Genomic DNA, 16658 nt, shown 5'->3' with positions numbered 1-16658 from the left:
GATTTAAAAAAAAAAAAGACAAAGGGGAAAAATAGAAGTCTGAAATTTTAAAAAGTTCCAATTCGGGCTCACAGTTAAAACAACACAACAATAAAACCACAACAAAAGTGGTAAACACATTGGATAGTCATGCTTTATTTTAGTATACTATGGTGTGGTTCCCATTCAAATATGAACAGAGCTCGTTCAGTTTTCCCTGCCTCTGGCAAATTCACCTCAACTAAAAGGACTCAGAGATGATGAGAAGATAAGAGTTCCAAGGAGGGCAGCCTATCATAAGAAACACAATAACAGGAAATAGGTGGTGGTCACAGGCATTAAAATGTGCCTTAAGTGTGAACTTAGGGAAAAAAAGTGCAAACAAAGCAATGACTGAAGCCAAGAAGCAGAACAGTGCTTTTGCTATGGAAGAAAGCTTCGCCTGCATCTTAGAATAGGTTGATTTTTCACTGTCAGGCAACTTTAATTGAATCCATGCTCTAGGAGAAGCGCCCCTCCGCCCCCCAAAAAATGTAAGGTACCACCTGGGCTTGAATTTAGAACAAGTTTGCCCACCTGAAGATAATTTAACACTTCCAGAAGCATTTCAAATATTTAATTTATTAATACAGGAGGTTTTTTCTGTTTTTTATTTTCTTCTAGTATTCTTCTGAGGAAAAGCACAATGTAATTATCTTAATTAACTACATTTGATGTAATCAAATACTTGTTTGAAGTGGACCAGAATTCCAGGATGCTTGTGAGATCCAGCTCCAGCTGCACTATTTAGGTACATAATTCCAGGTAAATGAGAGGACAAATAAAAACACAATACATATAGCCTCTATGAGAAAAGAAAAAAGCATGCCAATCTAGAGTCAACCTCTTAAAAGAGTCATTTTCAGAGATTACGGTATTTATTAGCCTTCACATGCTGCAACGTAAAATCCATTTGGAGAAAATCTTTTCCATTTCCATTTATTTTTTTCAACTAAATTGATATCATCTACCATAATCATCTACCTTATTCATTGGGCTATTTCTGTCCTTTGGGCAGCCCCCTAAATTTAAAGTTCACCCTCAAAGGCAAACTTCTATCACCACAGAACATATTCAAGACTCAAAGTAATTTTTAAAATGCAGCTCAAAAATCACCTGAGTAGAACAAAATGCATAATATTCCAAGGCAGAGGAGAGTAAAATAACTCTAGAATGTTGCTAGTGAGTGTTTTTATTTTAATTTTTCTTAGTCCTCCATATTCACTTTATAATTGTAATGTGGTGTTTATCCCCTCCATTTCTAAATAATTTATTTTCCAGAGTTCCTGAAAATATTTCAAAATGAAACCGAATACAGTTACAAAATGTGCATCTGCACAACTCACGGGCCCATTTGTGAAATATGGTGCTCATTACTGATAGTGGAACTGGTGGGGAATTTGAAACCCATTTAGAAATGTTAGGAATTATCTCAGGAGGAGTAAGAACCTTATTTGGACTGAAGCTGTCTGCAAAAATATGAAAAGAAAGACTCAAAGGCTAGGCTGCTATTTGTGCATCTTAATGTGCTCCAGTCACAGCACAGTTGGGTGGAGATGGCTCATTCTCTTCTCACTGAGGGGAACAAGCAAAAGTTAATTGAGAACAGTGCAGAAATGTTCTACCAGCTGCCTGCCTTTCTTTTCCAGGAGGAGCAGAGAAGGTTAAAAAACCTATTTATGGTTGAAGATTCCTTCCCATTCACACTGTACTACAGTTATGGATCCCACAGAAGGGTCGACTGCCATCTTATTTTGAATCCTAGGAGAGTTGGATACAAGAATGAAAGACAAAGACCTATTCCATTGAAGACAGTGAGAAATTTCGGAGATATGGTGCTGCATGGAGCTACTTTCCAAATGTTCAGATCCCTTATTTAAGCAACAGTTAACAAACTAGAGTTTGGGAACTGCTTGAGAGTTCAGGCTGCCATCATGCCAAACCCATGGAAACTGGATATGTTTCTGTGGTGACTTTAATCTGGACCACACATAGGAACAGGTTAAGCCAGATTATATTGGCCATCTGTCCAAGTCACACTAGGATGTGAGGCATCCACTATTTCCTGACCTAACAACAGTTTGGAGATCCCCAGATTGAAAAGTATGTCATTGAAGTCTTGTGGTGTAGACCAAGGCTTAGGACCACCTGACTAATCCATAGCAATCTTTGGACTTTCCCTTTGCTAGAATTGAAGTACCTCTGGGAAGCCTTCCCTAATGGTCATGGTTGTTAAGCCTCACAATGGACAGCGACTGCTCACTTTTCTGAACTTCTGAACCTATTGTGTTCCTCTGGGAATACAATGGTAAGTAAAATCAAGCCAGGACCCTGCACCCAGGGGATGTGAAAGGGAAGGTGAAAGAAAAGGTGAAGGCAAGATGTTAAATAACATCCAGATAATTAATTTCATTACAATTGCAATAAAAGCTACCAAAAAAGGAAGTACAGGATACTGGGACAACAAAGATCATATATTCTCTATCACTCATTCAGCACTTTGTGTCCAACTCTTGCTTGCTTTCTATGGGCAATCTATCACTCTGGTTCTGGTATATCTCTCTAACCTTTCTGGGTAGGTCGTAAGCTCAGGTTAGTCAGGGACACGACCCGAGAGAACACTTATCTAGCAGAAATCGTTGTCAATAGCCATTTAAAGATACATGATGGCTAATTTTTGGTTAATTGAGTCATATCAAAGAACACACTTACGTAGCAAAGGGGAAGGGAGATCATCGCCAAGCTCACCGTGGCTGATGCTTGTGTCAGGTGGGGTTGTTGAGGAAGAGAAATTCCTAAATTTCTATGCCATGTTCAGCTACTATCTGAAACCTGTGGGAAAGGAAAATGGAAAGACTCAACTTTCAAATCCTCCCCCTTCTATACCTCCAAAGGTTAGGACATAGAGTGGATAGCTCATTGTGAGGCAGAAACCATTTGTGAGTCTTCAGTGATGCAAAGGTAGCTATGGAGCCAAGAAGAAGGTAGAAAGTTAAATTTTTCGTCAAAATTAAGTGGAGAGAATTAAGTTGGGATCAAGGAATGCTGGAGATGTAGAGAAAGAAGACTTAGTATCCCCACTCTGTATGCTAAACACTGTATGTTTAAGTGATGCTTTGAAGGAAAACAGGATGTGGTTAACATCTAGGGAGTTTCCGTGAAACAAAAATATCCAGATGGCACAATGATGCTGTACACTCCTTACTTTGGTGGAAGTAGGAACTGAGTCAAGGCTGAATTCATCCCACAGTCATGTACGTGGCCCTCCCCTGTGGCCCTCCCTGCTAGCTCCACTGGATCTCCTCACTTAGTCCTGGCCCATCTTTGTACTCTTAACCAAAACTGGCCTCTGTGAGTACCATTCATTCAAGATCCCACTTTCTGAGACTTTATCTGATAAGCTGACTGTTGCTAAGGTAGCAGTGACTAATACACCTCCCAGATAACTCATTTTCATGTTAATAGGAGCATGTCAGATCTTATCTCAGAGGAATGACTATAATGTGATGGATACTGGAAGTGTGGTATTTGATCATGAAGACCTTCTTACACATTCTCAAGTCGTATCACATAAGCCAACACCTGCTCCATCTATAAAATGCCAGCTCTGTCTCATTCACCAAAACTCTGCACTGACATTCCCAGGTTCATGCGGAGCATCTTGGCAAGGCCCCAAATGGTACCTTAAATCCCTGAGCCATCCCAGCTGCTAGAAATAATGCTTCACGTCTCTTCTCCCACAGCATAAAGAAAATTCAGTTCAGGAATCACTGTCAGTGAATACTAACACTTCATGCAAATCAGCCAAATTTATTCTTCACTTTGCTGCTTCTTCAAAAAAACATGACAACCACGACAAGAATTTTCCATTATTCTGCATACAGAGCTCTCCAGAAATAGAGTATCTATTAAGTTGCCTTTCAGAATGTAATATTAGAAAGATCAAGTCTTTTTAAAACCACAAAGATAATAAAGTTGCAGAGTTTGGGATTGTCAGGGCAGACCTCCAGACTCCCCACAAGGTTCAGCCCTGTAGTAATAGTTGTTCTCCTTTTCCAACTTGGCTCAACACTACTAAGTCCTTTGCTGAGCACATAATGTTTATCATTTTTCTCCCCCACTGTTATTCATGATTGAAACTGCTCTAGAAGGCAGGTGTGGGAAATGAAATATTATTGAAATATAAGGTGATGATAACCATTAGATTTCAAGCTAAATTTTCTAACCAGGAATTAAATCATTTAAACTTCATATAATTTTAGAGATCATTTTTTTCTCTTAAGAGAAAAAGAAAACACCTGGTACATTATTTGGCAGATTCAAACTGAAGGAGCCAGAGGAAATTATCATTGACTGGCCGCAAAGATAAGTGGTTATATATTTTAACTGTGGGATATGACTATTCCTTGTAAATCCTGAATGGCAACTGCTCTCACCTCCCACCATCTTCTGGTAGTCTCTCTCTCGCTCTCTGTCTCTGTCTTTTATGCCCAGATTAAAAAAAATAGAACATATTTCAGTTCTAGCTTGACTTGCTTGGATATAAAATAGAATATAACTATCCCTTGACACACCATCATTACTTGTTAGATAAAATTGGAACAAATGGTTAAGAGTTCCCTGGATGGTTGTGCAAAATAATGGTAACTCTTAGAACATCAGTGTCCTCTTTAGTGAGATAAAAATGAACAGGAACACAGAGCAGAAAAACTGAGACCAAGACAGCCAAAGATCTCATTAAAGTAAGAATGTGATCCATTTGCTTACTTCTTCTCAAAGTAGAGTATCATCTAGAAAGCGAATCAATGTAAGTGAAATAGGATGAACTTGTACACCAAGAACCTGATCATGGCAATCCTAGGTACATTTATGATGGCAGCTACTTAACGTGCATTATTTCTTTGTGGAATCATAGGTTATTAGAAAGAGAAGGAAAATATCAATGGATTTCAAACTGTGCTCTAGGACAACTGCCAGGTTCAAGGCATAGTCCAAGAAGACAAGATTCCTGCTACTCAATTCTATTTTCACCACATCATCATGTGCTTTGATCCTCTTTATGTTTCGTGCACCAGCACCTTGAACAGTGTCCAGCACATTGTTGGTCCTCAATAAATATTTCTCAAATTACACAATGAATGAATATTTGTGAAAATTTGAAATTCTTAAGGTCACATATTTAAAAGACCACCGCTTTAAAAAAAATGGAAGGAAGGAAGAAAGAAAAGAAGCAAGGAAGGAAGGAAGGAAGGGACAGAGGGAGGGAGGGAGGAAGAAGGGAAGAGAGGAAGGAAGGGAGGGAGGGAGGGAACAAGGAAGGAAGGAAGGGAGGAAGGAAGGAATGAAAGAAGGAAGGAAGGAATGAAAGAAGGAAGGAAGAAGAAAAATAAAAAGCTAGAAGCACTCCAACGGAGTTCAATAGCTGGAGGGGTGAAATATTTTGCCCAAGATGTATAAGAAGTTGCTGTCTAAACTTAATTCCTAATTCCTCTCTCCTTATCCTCAATTGTTTACAGCATACCCAGTTGTCCTTCATCTTCTCTTCACATGGCTATAGCTCAGATAATTACAACCCTCTGTCACCTTTGTTTTGCTAAGAAAGCTCCAGATATGCCGATACTGAAATCTTCCAAACCTTGACTCAAGTTGTGTTAAGTTAGTAGGCAAAGAAAGTATCTAAATACAGTTTTTATGTATGGCTGTTTGAGGATTATAATCCATAAACTTTTAGTTTACATGAAGCAAGAAGCTCTGAAAAATTAAAATCATGATTTAACCACATTTCTCTTGTTTTAGCTTCTTTTATCTCTTGATTCTCTAAGTTGTGGAAGCACGGGGCTAAATCCCCAAAAACAGAGCATATCGGGGATATTTTCATCCTGACTCAAACAGGAAATTCCAGAAAAATCATGATGGAGACGGTCCCTGAGAGATTTCTAGCCCAGGTGCCATATTCTAGAGATCAAAATGTGTGGAAAATACTCAGAAGAAAATGAATGATAAATTATGGGGTTTTACTCAATACATTCCTTTCAAAATAGTTCATTACTAATATTTGGATTTCAGTTAAAAACTATTTGCAATAAACCCTATATCTTTCATTTCTCTATCTCATTTAAAAAAAATACTTCCTAGTCTTGATTGGGCCATCATTCTTACTAAACGATCTTAAAGTGATTACCACTATGCTAATGTAAAATTAGTCACTAATTTGCATAAATTGTTATTAGTGTAATTAGTAACCCATATTGAACATGCTTTTCCTTGGTTACATCTCAAGTTATCACAATGCCAATGCAATTATTAGCAATTGACTTTAATGATTCTAAGAGAAATTGTGTTAAAAAGAAAAAGTTGTCATGACTCTTAAAACTAGAAATTAAACATTTTTTAACTGCTAGGAGGTTTAAATGCAGCAATATTTCTTCACAAATGTAATTTTTTTTTAAAAAGGGTCTACTCATGCAAGAAACACTCGCTTTAGTTGGTGCTTCCCAGATTTCTAAATATTCTACAATAAAATAAATTACCCTAGTCTGTAGTTGAAATTATATGAAAATAATATAAAATAGAAATAATGGTAAATATGAATGGGAGCCTAAAAGAAGTAAGGTTTTGGTACTTCAGGACATGAGAAAACAAGTTACTGTCTGAGTATGCACTTCACCAGTGTTCTCATCAAATTCCTCTTGTTCATAGATTGTGTACCTTGGCTAGAAAACTTTTGAGAAAAGGAAACTCCATTTTACCTCTGGATCCAATTTTCCGGTATAATGCGTTAGTACAAAGTATACCAATGTTGACCTCACTCAGTGCCAAGAAGTTAAAATTATGCTATTAAGGTTATGGCAGAAACATTTGAAATGGCTTAGCAAAGGATTCACTTGTTTCTCTTTTTCTTTTCTCAGCAGGAATGAGTACTGCTTCTTGCAAGTTGTTCTCTGAGTTTTTATTAAATATCAACAGAAGTGCAACAATATGAGACAGAACTTCAAACGTAATCACTGCTGTTAGCTAGAATAACAGGAACAACCCAGGAGCTAGACAATAGTTCCCGTGCCAGGTCCTCAAGTAATCTTGATGCAGAGCAGACTGCATGAATATCAGGACAATTACCTCACTGAAAGTTAATATACTTTACCTCTTCAACCCCATCACACACACACAAACAACACACACACGCACAAACACACACGTGCATGCACACACAGTTTGCTTCATTTCCACAGGACTATGAGAACTGAAAGAATTATAAACTCATCTGCAATGAGAAGTTTCTAATATTGATTAACTAAGCATTCCTCAAACAGGCTCATGCTAAGTGCTACAGATATAATAGTGAATAAGGCAGAGTCCAGCCCTTAGACAACCTAGAGTTCTCTCTGTGTGGATGAAATGAGGTTTGTGGGAGAGGGATGCACACTTAATAGTGCAGGGGTAATTCTAGTAAGAGAACAAAGTTACTCAGTTCTAGTTCTAAGAAGAAAGGTGGGTGCATGGTAGCACGTGCATGGATTGGAACACTCCACAGGAATGCAACAGCCTAAGAGAGGGTTGAAGGCTGAGAGAAAGCACAGAATTGAAAGTAGCTTAATATGACTACAGGTAGAATAACGCGTATGTGAGAGTGTGCTTTGGGAAGGGGAGGAGGACAAAAATACTGACGTGGGAATCAGGGAGCTGCGTGAGTGAGGGCCTTGAATGTTATTTAGGGAGAGTATAGACTTTGTCTTTGGGACTATGAGGTCATTTGTAAGAAAGAAGGATGGCCACATCCGTGTTTGAAAAGATAATTCTAGAGGCAGTATAAGGAAAGATTTGTCTTGCCTATGAGGCCCATTAGGAAACAATTAGGAGAGTGATAATCATTTAGGTAAAGTAAGGTCAAGATAGATAGAAATTTTTAAAAATGGGCCAGTTTAAGATAGATTAAAGATGCATATTCTGACAGAATTTCAGATTACCTGGACATAGGGATGATAAAGAAAGAAGGTTAAAGGATAATACCTTAATATATTTCCCAGGCTACCATGCAGATGGGGGTGCCATTCAATGAGATGATGAACATAGGAAAAAGAGCAAATTTGTGGCACAGGAAGTGACAGAAAAGTGGTAGAAAGTGACACACATAAAAGGGCAATTGACACCTTTAGAAAATATGGATAGGATTTAGAGAAATTGCTAAGTCTTTGCTGTCGGTAGAGCAGACAGAGCACATTCATAGTTAAATATTCTAGTCATTTTAATAGTTATAGTCAATTTCTTAAGAACAACGATTTGTTTGTAATAAATACTGTTTTCCCCACCTTCACTTTGTTCTTATTTCTATATTCTCAGCACTAATCACTTTGGATCTTTCCTATCATTCCATGATATCTTAAGATCCTCAAAACTCCAGCATAATCACCTGTTCAGATATGCAGAAAAATATCATATATTTTGGCATCTAAAATGTTTCAAAGGGTTACATTTATGCAAAATAGAATGGTGTGGTCAATAATTTTCTTGTCTTATATCTTAGCATCCTTTGAAATCTTCTTGCCTCAGTAGTGGGCTACTGACTAGAGAGACAGAATCTATTACATAGGGGTTTAGGAAGAAACCAAGCCTAGTAAACTTCAGTTGTTACTAGCATCATGTATAAGCACAGTGCTAGGTCCTCTGGAAAACAAGGCATGAGAAGCAATCTCTAAATAATCAGGGTCTACTATCTTTTTATGGATCAAGATAGATATAGATAAGATATAGATACATATCAAAAGACAACAATACAAGTTAGAAGCTTTTTAGTGCGTACAAGTTACATAGTGAAATGTAAAACACATTTCATGCAACTAGAGAGGAAGTCACTATCTCACTTAGGAGAGTTTGTTCCATTCTCCCACCCATGGTAATAAATTTTAAAATGTATATAAGCAACATATTCAATTTAAATAATATACATATATAGAATGTTTGTTATGTAACAGAGATTCTTCCAGCATGTATGATAAGGAAGAGACATGATTTTGATGTCCATTAAAAATTCAGTGCAGCTGCTACTAACAGGTACCCAGTTTGAGATCTCATGTAAAAGCAGTCCAGGAGTAGGCTTGCCAGAGCAGACCTCACACTCAAAAGAATCTTCCATTGCCCAGGCTTTTTTCTGTATCTTCTCTTCTATCCCTGAAGTCATTGGTTTTCCACTGGAGCTACAGACTTAACATCTGATTTCCAGCCAGGAATAAGGAGAAGGACAAGTGACAAATGTGACACTTCACCCAGCTAAGTCACCTTCTTTCAAGAGTTTCATGAAGTTTAAGGGAGAACTATCCCAGGTTTCTGCTAACGTCTCACTGGCCCTTCCTGTCTGTAACAGCCATGGAGACAAGCTGGTAGGGGAATAACACTTTTAAAATAATAAACAAAAAGAAGCACCCGTGCAAATTCTGAAGTTAGCAAAAATATTATGTAGGCAATCTTAGATGAAGGAAAACTCGGAGACTGTTTCCAACAACCATGCTCTAAAGAAATGGGAAAGATCAAAGGGAAATGATACCAAGGGGAAACCTGGACCTTCAGGAATTATGTCAGTCTTTTGGGGCTGCTATCACAAAATATCATGGACTAGGTGGCTTATAAACAAGAGCAATTTATTTCTCACACTTCTGGAGGTTGGAAATCCAAGATCAATGTGCCGTCAGATTCAGTGTCTGCTGAGGACTCGCTTTTGGGCTCCTAGAAGGTGTCTTCTCAATGCACCCTCACCTGGCAGAAGGGAAAAGGCATTTCTCTGGGCTCTCTGAGGTCTCTTTTATTAGGCCACCAACCCCATTCATGAGGGTTCCACCTCCATGACCTAATCACCTTGAAAAGTCCTCAGCTCCTACCGCCATCACATTGGATCTGAGGAGGACACAGCATTCAGCTCAAAGCAGAAATGAAGAAATCACCACAGAAATGATAAATATCTGCATATATATAACAAATTTTCACTGTTTGGTTCTTTAAAATATGTGTGATGATTGAAAACAAAAACTGTAACACTGTCTGATGGAGTTTTCTATGTATATAGTTGTAACACATTTGGCAACTACAACATGAAAGACAGAAGGTAAGGAGCCGATGTGGTGGAAAGGCTTCCATACTCGAGTGATGAAAAATTAATTCTAAGTAGATTGGGAAAGTCACATGTGTAAAACCCCAATAGAAACAACTAAAACAGTAAATATCTTAATAGATAAATTAAAATGAAGTCCCTGAAAAATATTAAGATTAGTTTATATTATGTATTGTTTTGTCTTCTGAAATATTTGGTGAAATTCTTTTTGTATTCTCTAGTGTCTGGTCAAATTTGGGTTTTGAGCTGAATGAAAGTAGGCTAACCTCTACTTAAACAAGTTCAAAGTAAATTATGCACACAGCAAAGAAGTTAATGGAGTTAAAGGGGTCATTCCTTATAACTAAGGTTTACAACCTGTGTTACCCAGAACTGGATCCATGTTTCTGCCTATTTTCATACATGACTGTAGCAAAGAAAATATGATTGATACATTTGGTATTTGGTTGATTTGTTTTCTCATGGCATAGCTCTAAAATTCTACATAATTTGGGGAATCACAGATATTAAGCTTATTACTGATGGAATAATCTTAATAAGCTCCAGAAATCGGTTCAATGAAATGCTCCATCTTCTAAGGATGCCTTCTCCATGCCTTTCCTCCTTCTCAAACTGACTCTCATCCTGTAACTCCTAGCTAGAACATATCAAATCCTCAGTGATTCTTTCCTAATCCTACCCCAATATCAGGGCCCTTTGTTGGTAGAATGCATTCTTATTGCTAATCGTAATTATTGGGTTTACTTTTCTAGGATCTTCATTTTAATCTGACTTTTACTAGAATAAAAGATCCATTAGAACAGGAACCAAGTATGTCTTTTTCTCCCTTTATCCTGAAACAACACAGAGGGTAGCACTTAGTAACACATATATTTGCCAAAAAAAAAAAAAACTCATTGAATTTTAACATTAAAATATGGATCTGACATTCTTTTACATGGAATTATTATAATCATATTAATCACTATGCTTTTAACTTTATATAAATTAGATATTCTTGCTAATAAGGCATTTCCTTCATTCTCAAACAAGTTAACAAATTTATTTTTCCTAAGATTAAAAAAATATTTATTGAACTCTAAGATATTCAATGGCACAAACTGTGTTTTATTTGTCTCTTTTCAAAGTTTGAAACAGCATCTGACACATAATAGATATGCAATAAACATTTATTAAAAAGACAAAAAACTGCCAAGATGGATTTTAGTTGTACTTCGTTTACCAAGGGTGTATTATAGGAAAAAATTTTTTATTTTAGTGACTTATTGATAATTAAAGAATTAATCATTAAAAATACCATTTAATAATGACCAACTAAGCTTTTACTTATAGGGGATTTTTAATCACCAACAATATTTGGATGGGGAAAAATGTGTTTCTGTGCTCAAATGATGACAAAACAATGTTGACATGCTCACAATCAAACAAAAGGTACCTCATGAAAAATAGTGTTCTACTTTCTCTTATTTTATTTTGAAAGAGGTGACATTTCTTAGTATTGAAATGCCTGTCACATTATTTTCAGGATCATTTTAAACTGTTTTGCAATGTTTATCCTCAATTCTTTATTAACCTTTGTCACTAAGCCATTGAAACGCATTTTGGATGCTGAGAGTTAATCCGGCTCTCACAGACTATAACCTACAGTGTCTAATATAGCTTGGAAGTGAGACATCAAATGAAAACATCAATCTTAAGTATCCTCAGGCTCAGTAAATTGGTGCCTCATTGTCTGCACCTTATGTCAAATTAGGCTGAACATATTGAACTTAACATATGTAGTGAGAAGAGATTCTAGAAAAACAGCACTTTTCTTTACCTAAATCCTTAGAATACCAAAATAACAGTAACAATCATGAAATAATTGTTTATGGCACAATAAATGATAATAAATCCACTTTTGTTATGCTTTAAATTAAGGATTTCAAAGAAATTTACAAAGCCTACGATAATAGCTGTTTTAAGACTGAAAGTTGCGGCCGGGCACAGTGGCTCACGCCTGTAATCTCAGCACTTTGGGAGGCCGAGGCAGGTGGATCACTTGAGGTCAGGAGTTCGAGACCAGCCTGGTCAACATGGTGAAACCTTGTCTTTACTAAAAATACAAAAAATTAGCCAGGCATAGTGGCACAAGCCTGTAATCCCAGCAACTTGGGAAGCTGAGGCAGGAGAATTGCTTGAACCCAGGATCGCGCCACTGCACTCCAGCCTGGGAGACAGAATGAGACCCTGTCTCAGAAAAAAAAAACAAAAAACAAAACAAAACTGAAAGTTGCACAGGATTTTCATATTTTAATGAAATCATGTAGGCAAAGGACTTTGTAAATTATAAATCAAAGTATATTTTATAGTTATCATTTTTAACTCCATTGAGTTTTGAAGGTAAATTTAAGTGTGTACATCTTTATATATCTCTGCCAGAAATTTAGTTTACAATATATTATAATTTCAATTGTAGAAGCTAATTAATTGAAGGAATGACATTCTAAATATAGTGAGTTACAGGTCATTACATTTTTCCCCCTGTGGAAAAAAGGATATGTAAATTAACTAATGTACTAATTGGTTTTATCTAAGAATATATTTTTGTAAGCAACTGTATTAATATTGATGTAGCTTACAGTAGCTTGAATTGAAACAAATTAAATTAATTTACTCGGCTTGAGTGGGGCTAGAATAAGTACATGCTGGTGAAGTGAACGTATGTCTCGTGAGTGAAGGAGACTTTCTCTCCTTAAATAATGATTTGGGCTCAACGTCAACAGAGAGGAGTAAGTAAGAAAACTGTACCTTACAAAAGATATGCCACAAAATAGTAGAGTATCATTTTACAAATAGCAAACAGAAGCTGGGAAATTAAATGATTTCCTCAAAGCCACACCTGGTAGAAACAAACTACCAGAGCTCCTGGCGTCTAGTCGTTTATTTTTCCTTAAGGGAATACCCAGGTTAGAGGATGTTCCATCTGAGAGCCATTAGAGAGCGAAAGGCTGGCACATTTGATCTAATGCTTTCTCCTGGGTCAGTGCATGCCAATTTTTACTGAGGATAGAAAGCACACCGAGATCTTGTCATACAGCAGATTCTAATCCAGTAGGTCTCAGGTAAGGCCTTGAGTTCTGCATCTTGGAGGAGCTAGCAAATAATACAGATGTTGCTGCTCTGTGGAATGTACTTTGAGGGTGAAGTGCCAAGTGAAAGGGAGAGGAAGTCCTATTTCCTCTTTCACAGGTTTCCTTCAATTCCCCGGCTCCCTTTCACTCCCTCAGAGCAGCAGATCAGTAAAGACAACTTCACAATGGCCTAAACACAGAAAAACTTTTGAAAAGGAGGTATAAGATTGACTTCAAGTTGATTCCCAAAGGGAGAATGGAAGTTTATTTTAAAAAACAAAGCACACTCATTGAGACTAAAATAAAAGCACAGCCAGTCTTTTCAGTTAAGCAGTCTGCCTAGCAAAAAATAGCCACCAATTCTATCAGAAGGCAAAACGGCACTGTACCTCAGGTTTGGACTTAATCTTCTTACATCTTGGTGGAGTCCATTTCAGGAGAATACGGTATGATGAAGAATCCTGTTCAAGCCTGAACCCTACCCTCTACCTCCTTCTCTAAATGGTTATTATAACCCTTTCTTTTTTTATTGTTTTTATTATTATTATACTTTAAGTTTTAGGGTACATGTGCACAATGTGCAGGTTAGTTACATATGTATACATGTGACATGCTGGTGTGCTGCACCCACTAACTCGTCATCTAGCATTAGGTATATCTCCCAGTGCTATCCCTCCCTCCTCCCCCCACCCCACAACAGTCCCCAGAGTGTGATGTTCCCCTTCCTGTGTCCATGTGTTCTCATTGTTCAGTTCCCACCTATGAGTGAGAATATGCGGTGTTTGGTTTTTTGTTCTTGCGCTAGTTTACTGAGACTGATGATTTCCAATTTCATCCATGTCCCTACAAAGGACATGAACTCATCATTTTTTATGGCTGCATAATATTCCATGGTGTATATGTGCCACATTTTCTTAATCCAGTCTATCATTGTTGGACATTTGGGTTGGTTCCAAGTCTTTGCTATTGTGAATAATGCCGCAATAAACATACGTGTGCATGTGTCTTTATAGCAGCATGATTTATAGTCCTTTGGGTATATACCCAGTAATGGGATGGCTGGGTCAAGTGGTATTTCTAGTTCTAGCCAAAATTGACAAATGGGATCTAATTAAACTAAAGAGCTTCTGCACAGCAAAAGAAACTACCATCAGAGTGAACAGGCAACCTACAAAATGGGAGAAAATTTTCGCAACCTACTCATCTGACAAAGGGCTAATATCCAGAATCTACAATGAACTCAAACAAATTTACAAGAAAAAAACAAACAACCCCATCAAAAAGTGGGCGAAGGACATGAACAGACACTTCTCAAAAGAAGGCATTTATGCAGCCGAAAAACACATGAAAAAATGCTCATCATCACTGGCCATCAGAGAAATGCAAATCAAAACCACAATGAGATACCATCTCACACCAGTTAGAATGGCAATCATTAAAAAGTCAGGAAACAACAGGAGCTGGAGAGGATGTGGAGAAATAGGAACACTTTTACACTGTTGGTGGGACTGTAAACTAGTTCAATCATTGTGGAAGTCAGTGTAACCCTTTCTTATAATCTGAATTTGTATTGCCCAATACTTGCATTCTCTGGAAAGGAAATTCTTCTATTTGATGATCTGTCAAGATTAAAAATTTACTTAGGCATGGAACATGCCAGGATGACACATAGTTATATCAGAACGAATCCTTTGTTGCAGCTGTTTCAAAGTAGTAATGAATACCAGGGACATTTAATTCACACATTTTCCATTGGGTGATGCTTGTTACTTGAAATACGAAAGTAATATTCATTATGCATCATTATTCTTTAAAAGTGTTTTTAAAATCAAGTTTCAAACCCTCTTCAAGCCTGCATGTGCAGGTGTTGGATTCCTGGTAGGTAAGCAGATATATCATGAAGTTCTAAGGTAAATAATTTAATTGAGGATGAACAAAACATGTGCATATTTCCTCAAACAAAATAAAAATCTGATGTGCTATGAATAGTTATATACAAATACTTTTATTTAGATAATTGCAGCAAAAGAAATGTGTGCAATGTAAAAAGAAATTGCAGATTGAAGCCATACTTAAGAATTTTATGAAAAAGAGTTTTTATTGCTATTCCATTACCTTATCTAGCCTATATTTTTAATAGGGGGAAAATGACATAAATTTCTCTGTATGTTGGTCTTTTTAATTTATGTGAACAGTATTCAAAATTCAGAAGAATACCAGGAAATACTAATAGATTTAGCATTTGGTAGGTAGGAAAGCAGACACGCTCGGTAATCACTCCTATGTACCTTAATGTCTGAGCAAGCATTAGACGATGTTTACTTTTTCAGTCAAGTAATTAGGAATCTACTACATGAGGGCATTTTAGAAATGGGAAATTAAGAGTTGTTTTCCTTGCAAGTGGTAGTAAAAAGCAGATAGTCAACTGCTGTTGATTAAAGAATCCATAATGATTTTGTCCCCCTTCCTTTAAAAAGTTATCTCAAAGAGATGGCAGGCAACAAGAGCAAAGAATGCCACTTGCTAGATTAACTTGCAGAATGAATCTGGAAAATTTCCAGACCTTAAAAATCACCTGCAACCCTATAAAAACAATATTGATTTCATTAACTTCCATGTAAAACTTGATAATCACAAATTTCAAAAGAACTATTTAAAGTCTATACTTTCTGACATTAGATGGTGTCCAAAAAATTGAAGTAGACTAAGAATTACTCCATCATATGTTTTAAGATGTTCTGTTCAGCATAACTATTAACAAAGAAAATGTAAAATGAACATCTTGTCTCAGTTATAAATTGCTGTACCACAAAGCACCACAAACTTAAGTGGTTTAGAACAATAATCATTTTGTTTGCTCAGAATTATGAGGGTCAGTAATTTAGGCTGGCTTATGTGGTGGTTTTTCTGCTGTTCTCACCTGGGTTCACTCAAGTAGCTACTGTGATCTCGCTGCTCAGCTGGAATTAAAGTGGCTTTCTTGTCCTATCTGTGGTTGATGGTAGCTATTAGCTGAGTTTTTCATGCCACAAAGTATCTCACCCTCAAGAAAACTGTCCTGGGCTTCTTTATAGTGATCTCAGAGTTCAAACAGGGCAGAGCAGAAGTTCAGTCTTCAGACTGAAAGTGGCACAGCAATCCTTCTGCTACATTCTCTTGATCTGAACAAGTCACAAAGCCCACACAGATTCAGAAGGTGAGAAATGGACTTCACCTCTTGACAAGAGGACAGACAACATCACATTGCAAAGGGGCACGCATCCAGGGATGAGAGGAGTTACCACATTCGTCCTTGAAAAATTCACAAATATGCCACACAAGAAAGCAACAAATGTTCATGTGTGTATAGTGTGTTTGTGTGTATATATCTCTTGTAAATAATAATTTGAGATGTATGAATTATATGAAGTGGTGGTAGGGAGACATAT

General features: G+C 37.0%; 1 long non-coding RNA gene across 2 annotated transcripts in view; it reads right to left on the bottom strand.

Annotated features, from left to right (window-relative positions):
• The window catches only part of LOC124900817 (uncharacterized), a 140808-nt gene that overhangs the window by 81624 nt on the left and 42526 nt on the right, over positions 1-16658 (bottom strand). The window contains exon 2 of one of the 2 annotated variants that reach the window (XR_007058377.1): positions 2731-2850. The exons of the other annotated variant lie outside the window; for it this stretch is intronic. This is a non-coding gene — a long non-coding RNA (uncharacterized LOC124900817). The remainder of the gene's footprint in view (positions 1-2730; positions 2851-16658) is intronic. 2 annotated transcript variants of the gene reach the window in all.

The sequence above is a fragment of the Homo sapiens genome, chromosome 4 (assembly GCF_000001405.40).
Source record: "Homo sapiens chromosome 4, GRCh38.p14 Primary Assembly".
Lineage (NCBI taxonomy): Eukaryota > Metazoa > Chordata > Mammalia > Primates > Hominidae > Homo > Homo sapiens.
This window is presented reverse-complemented; position numbering and strand designations above follow the sequence as displayed.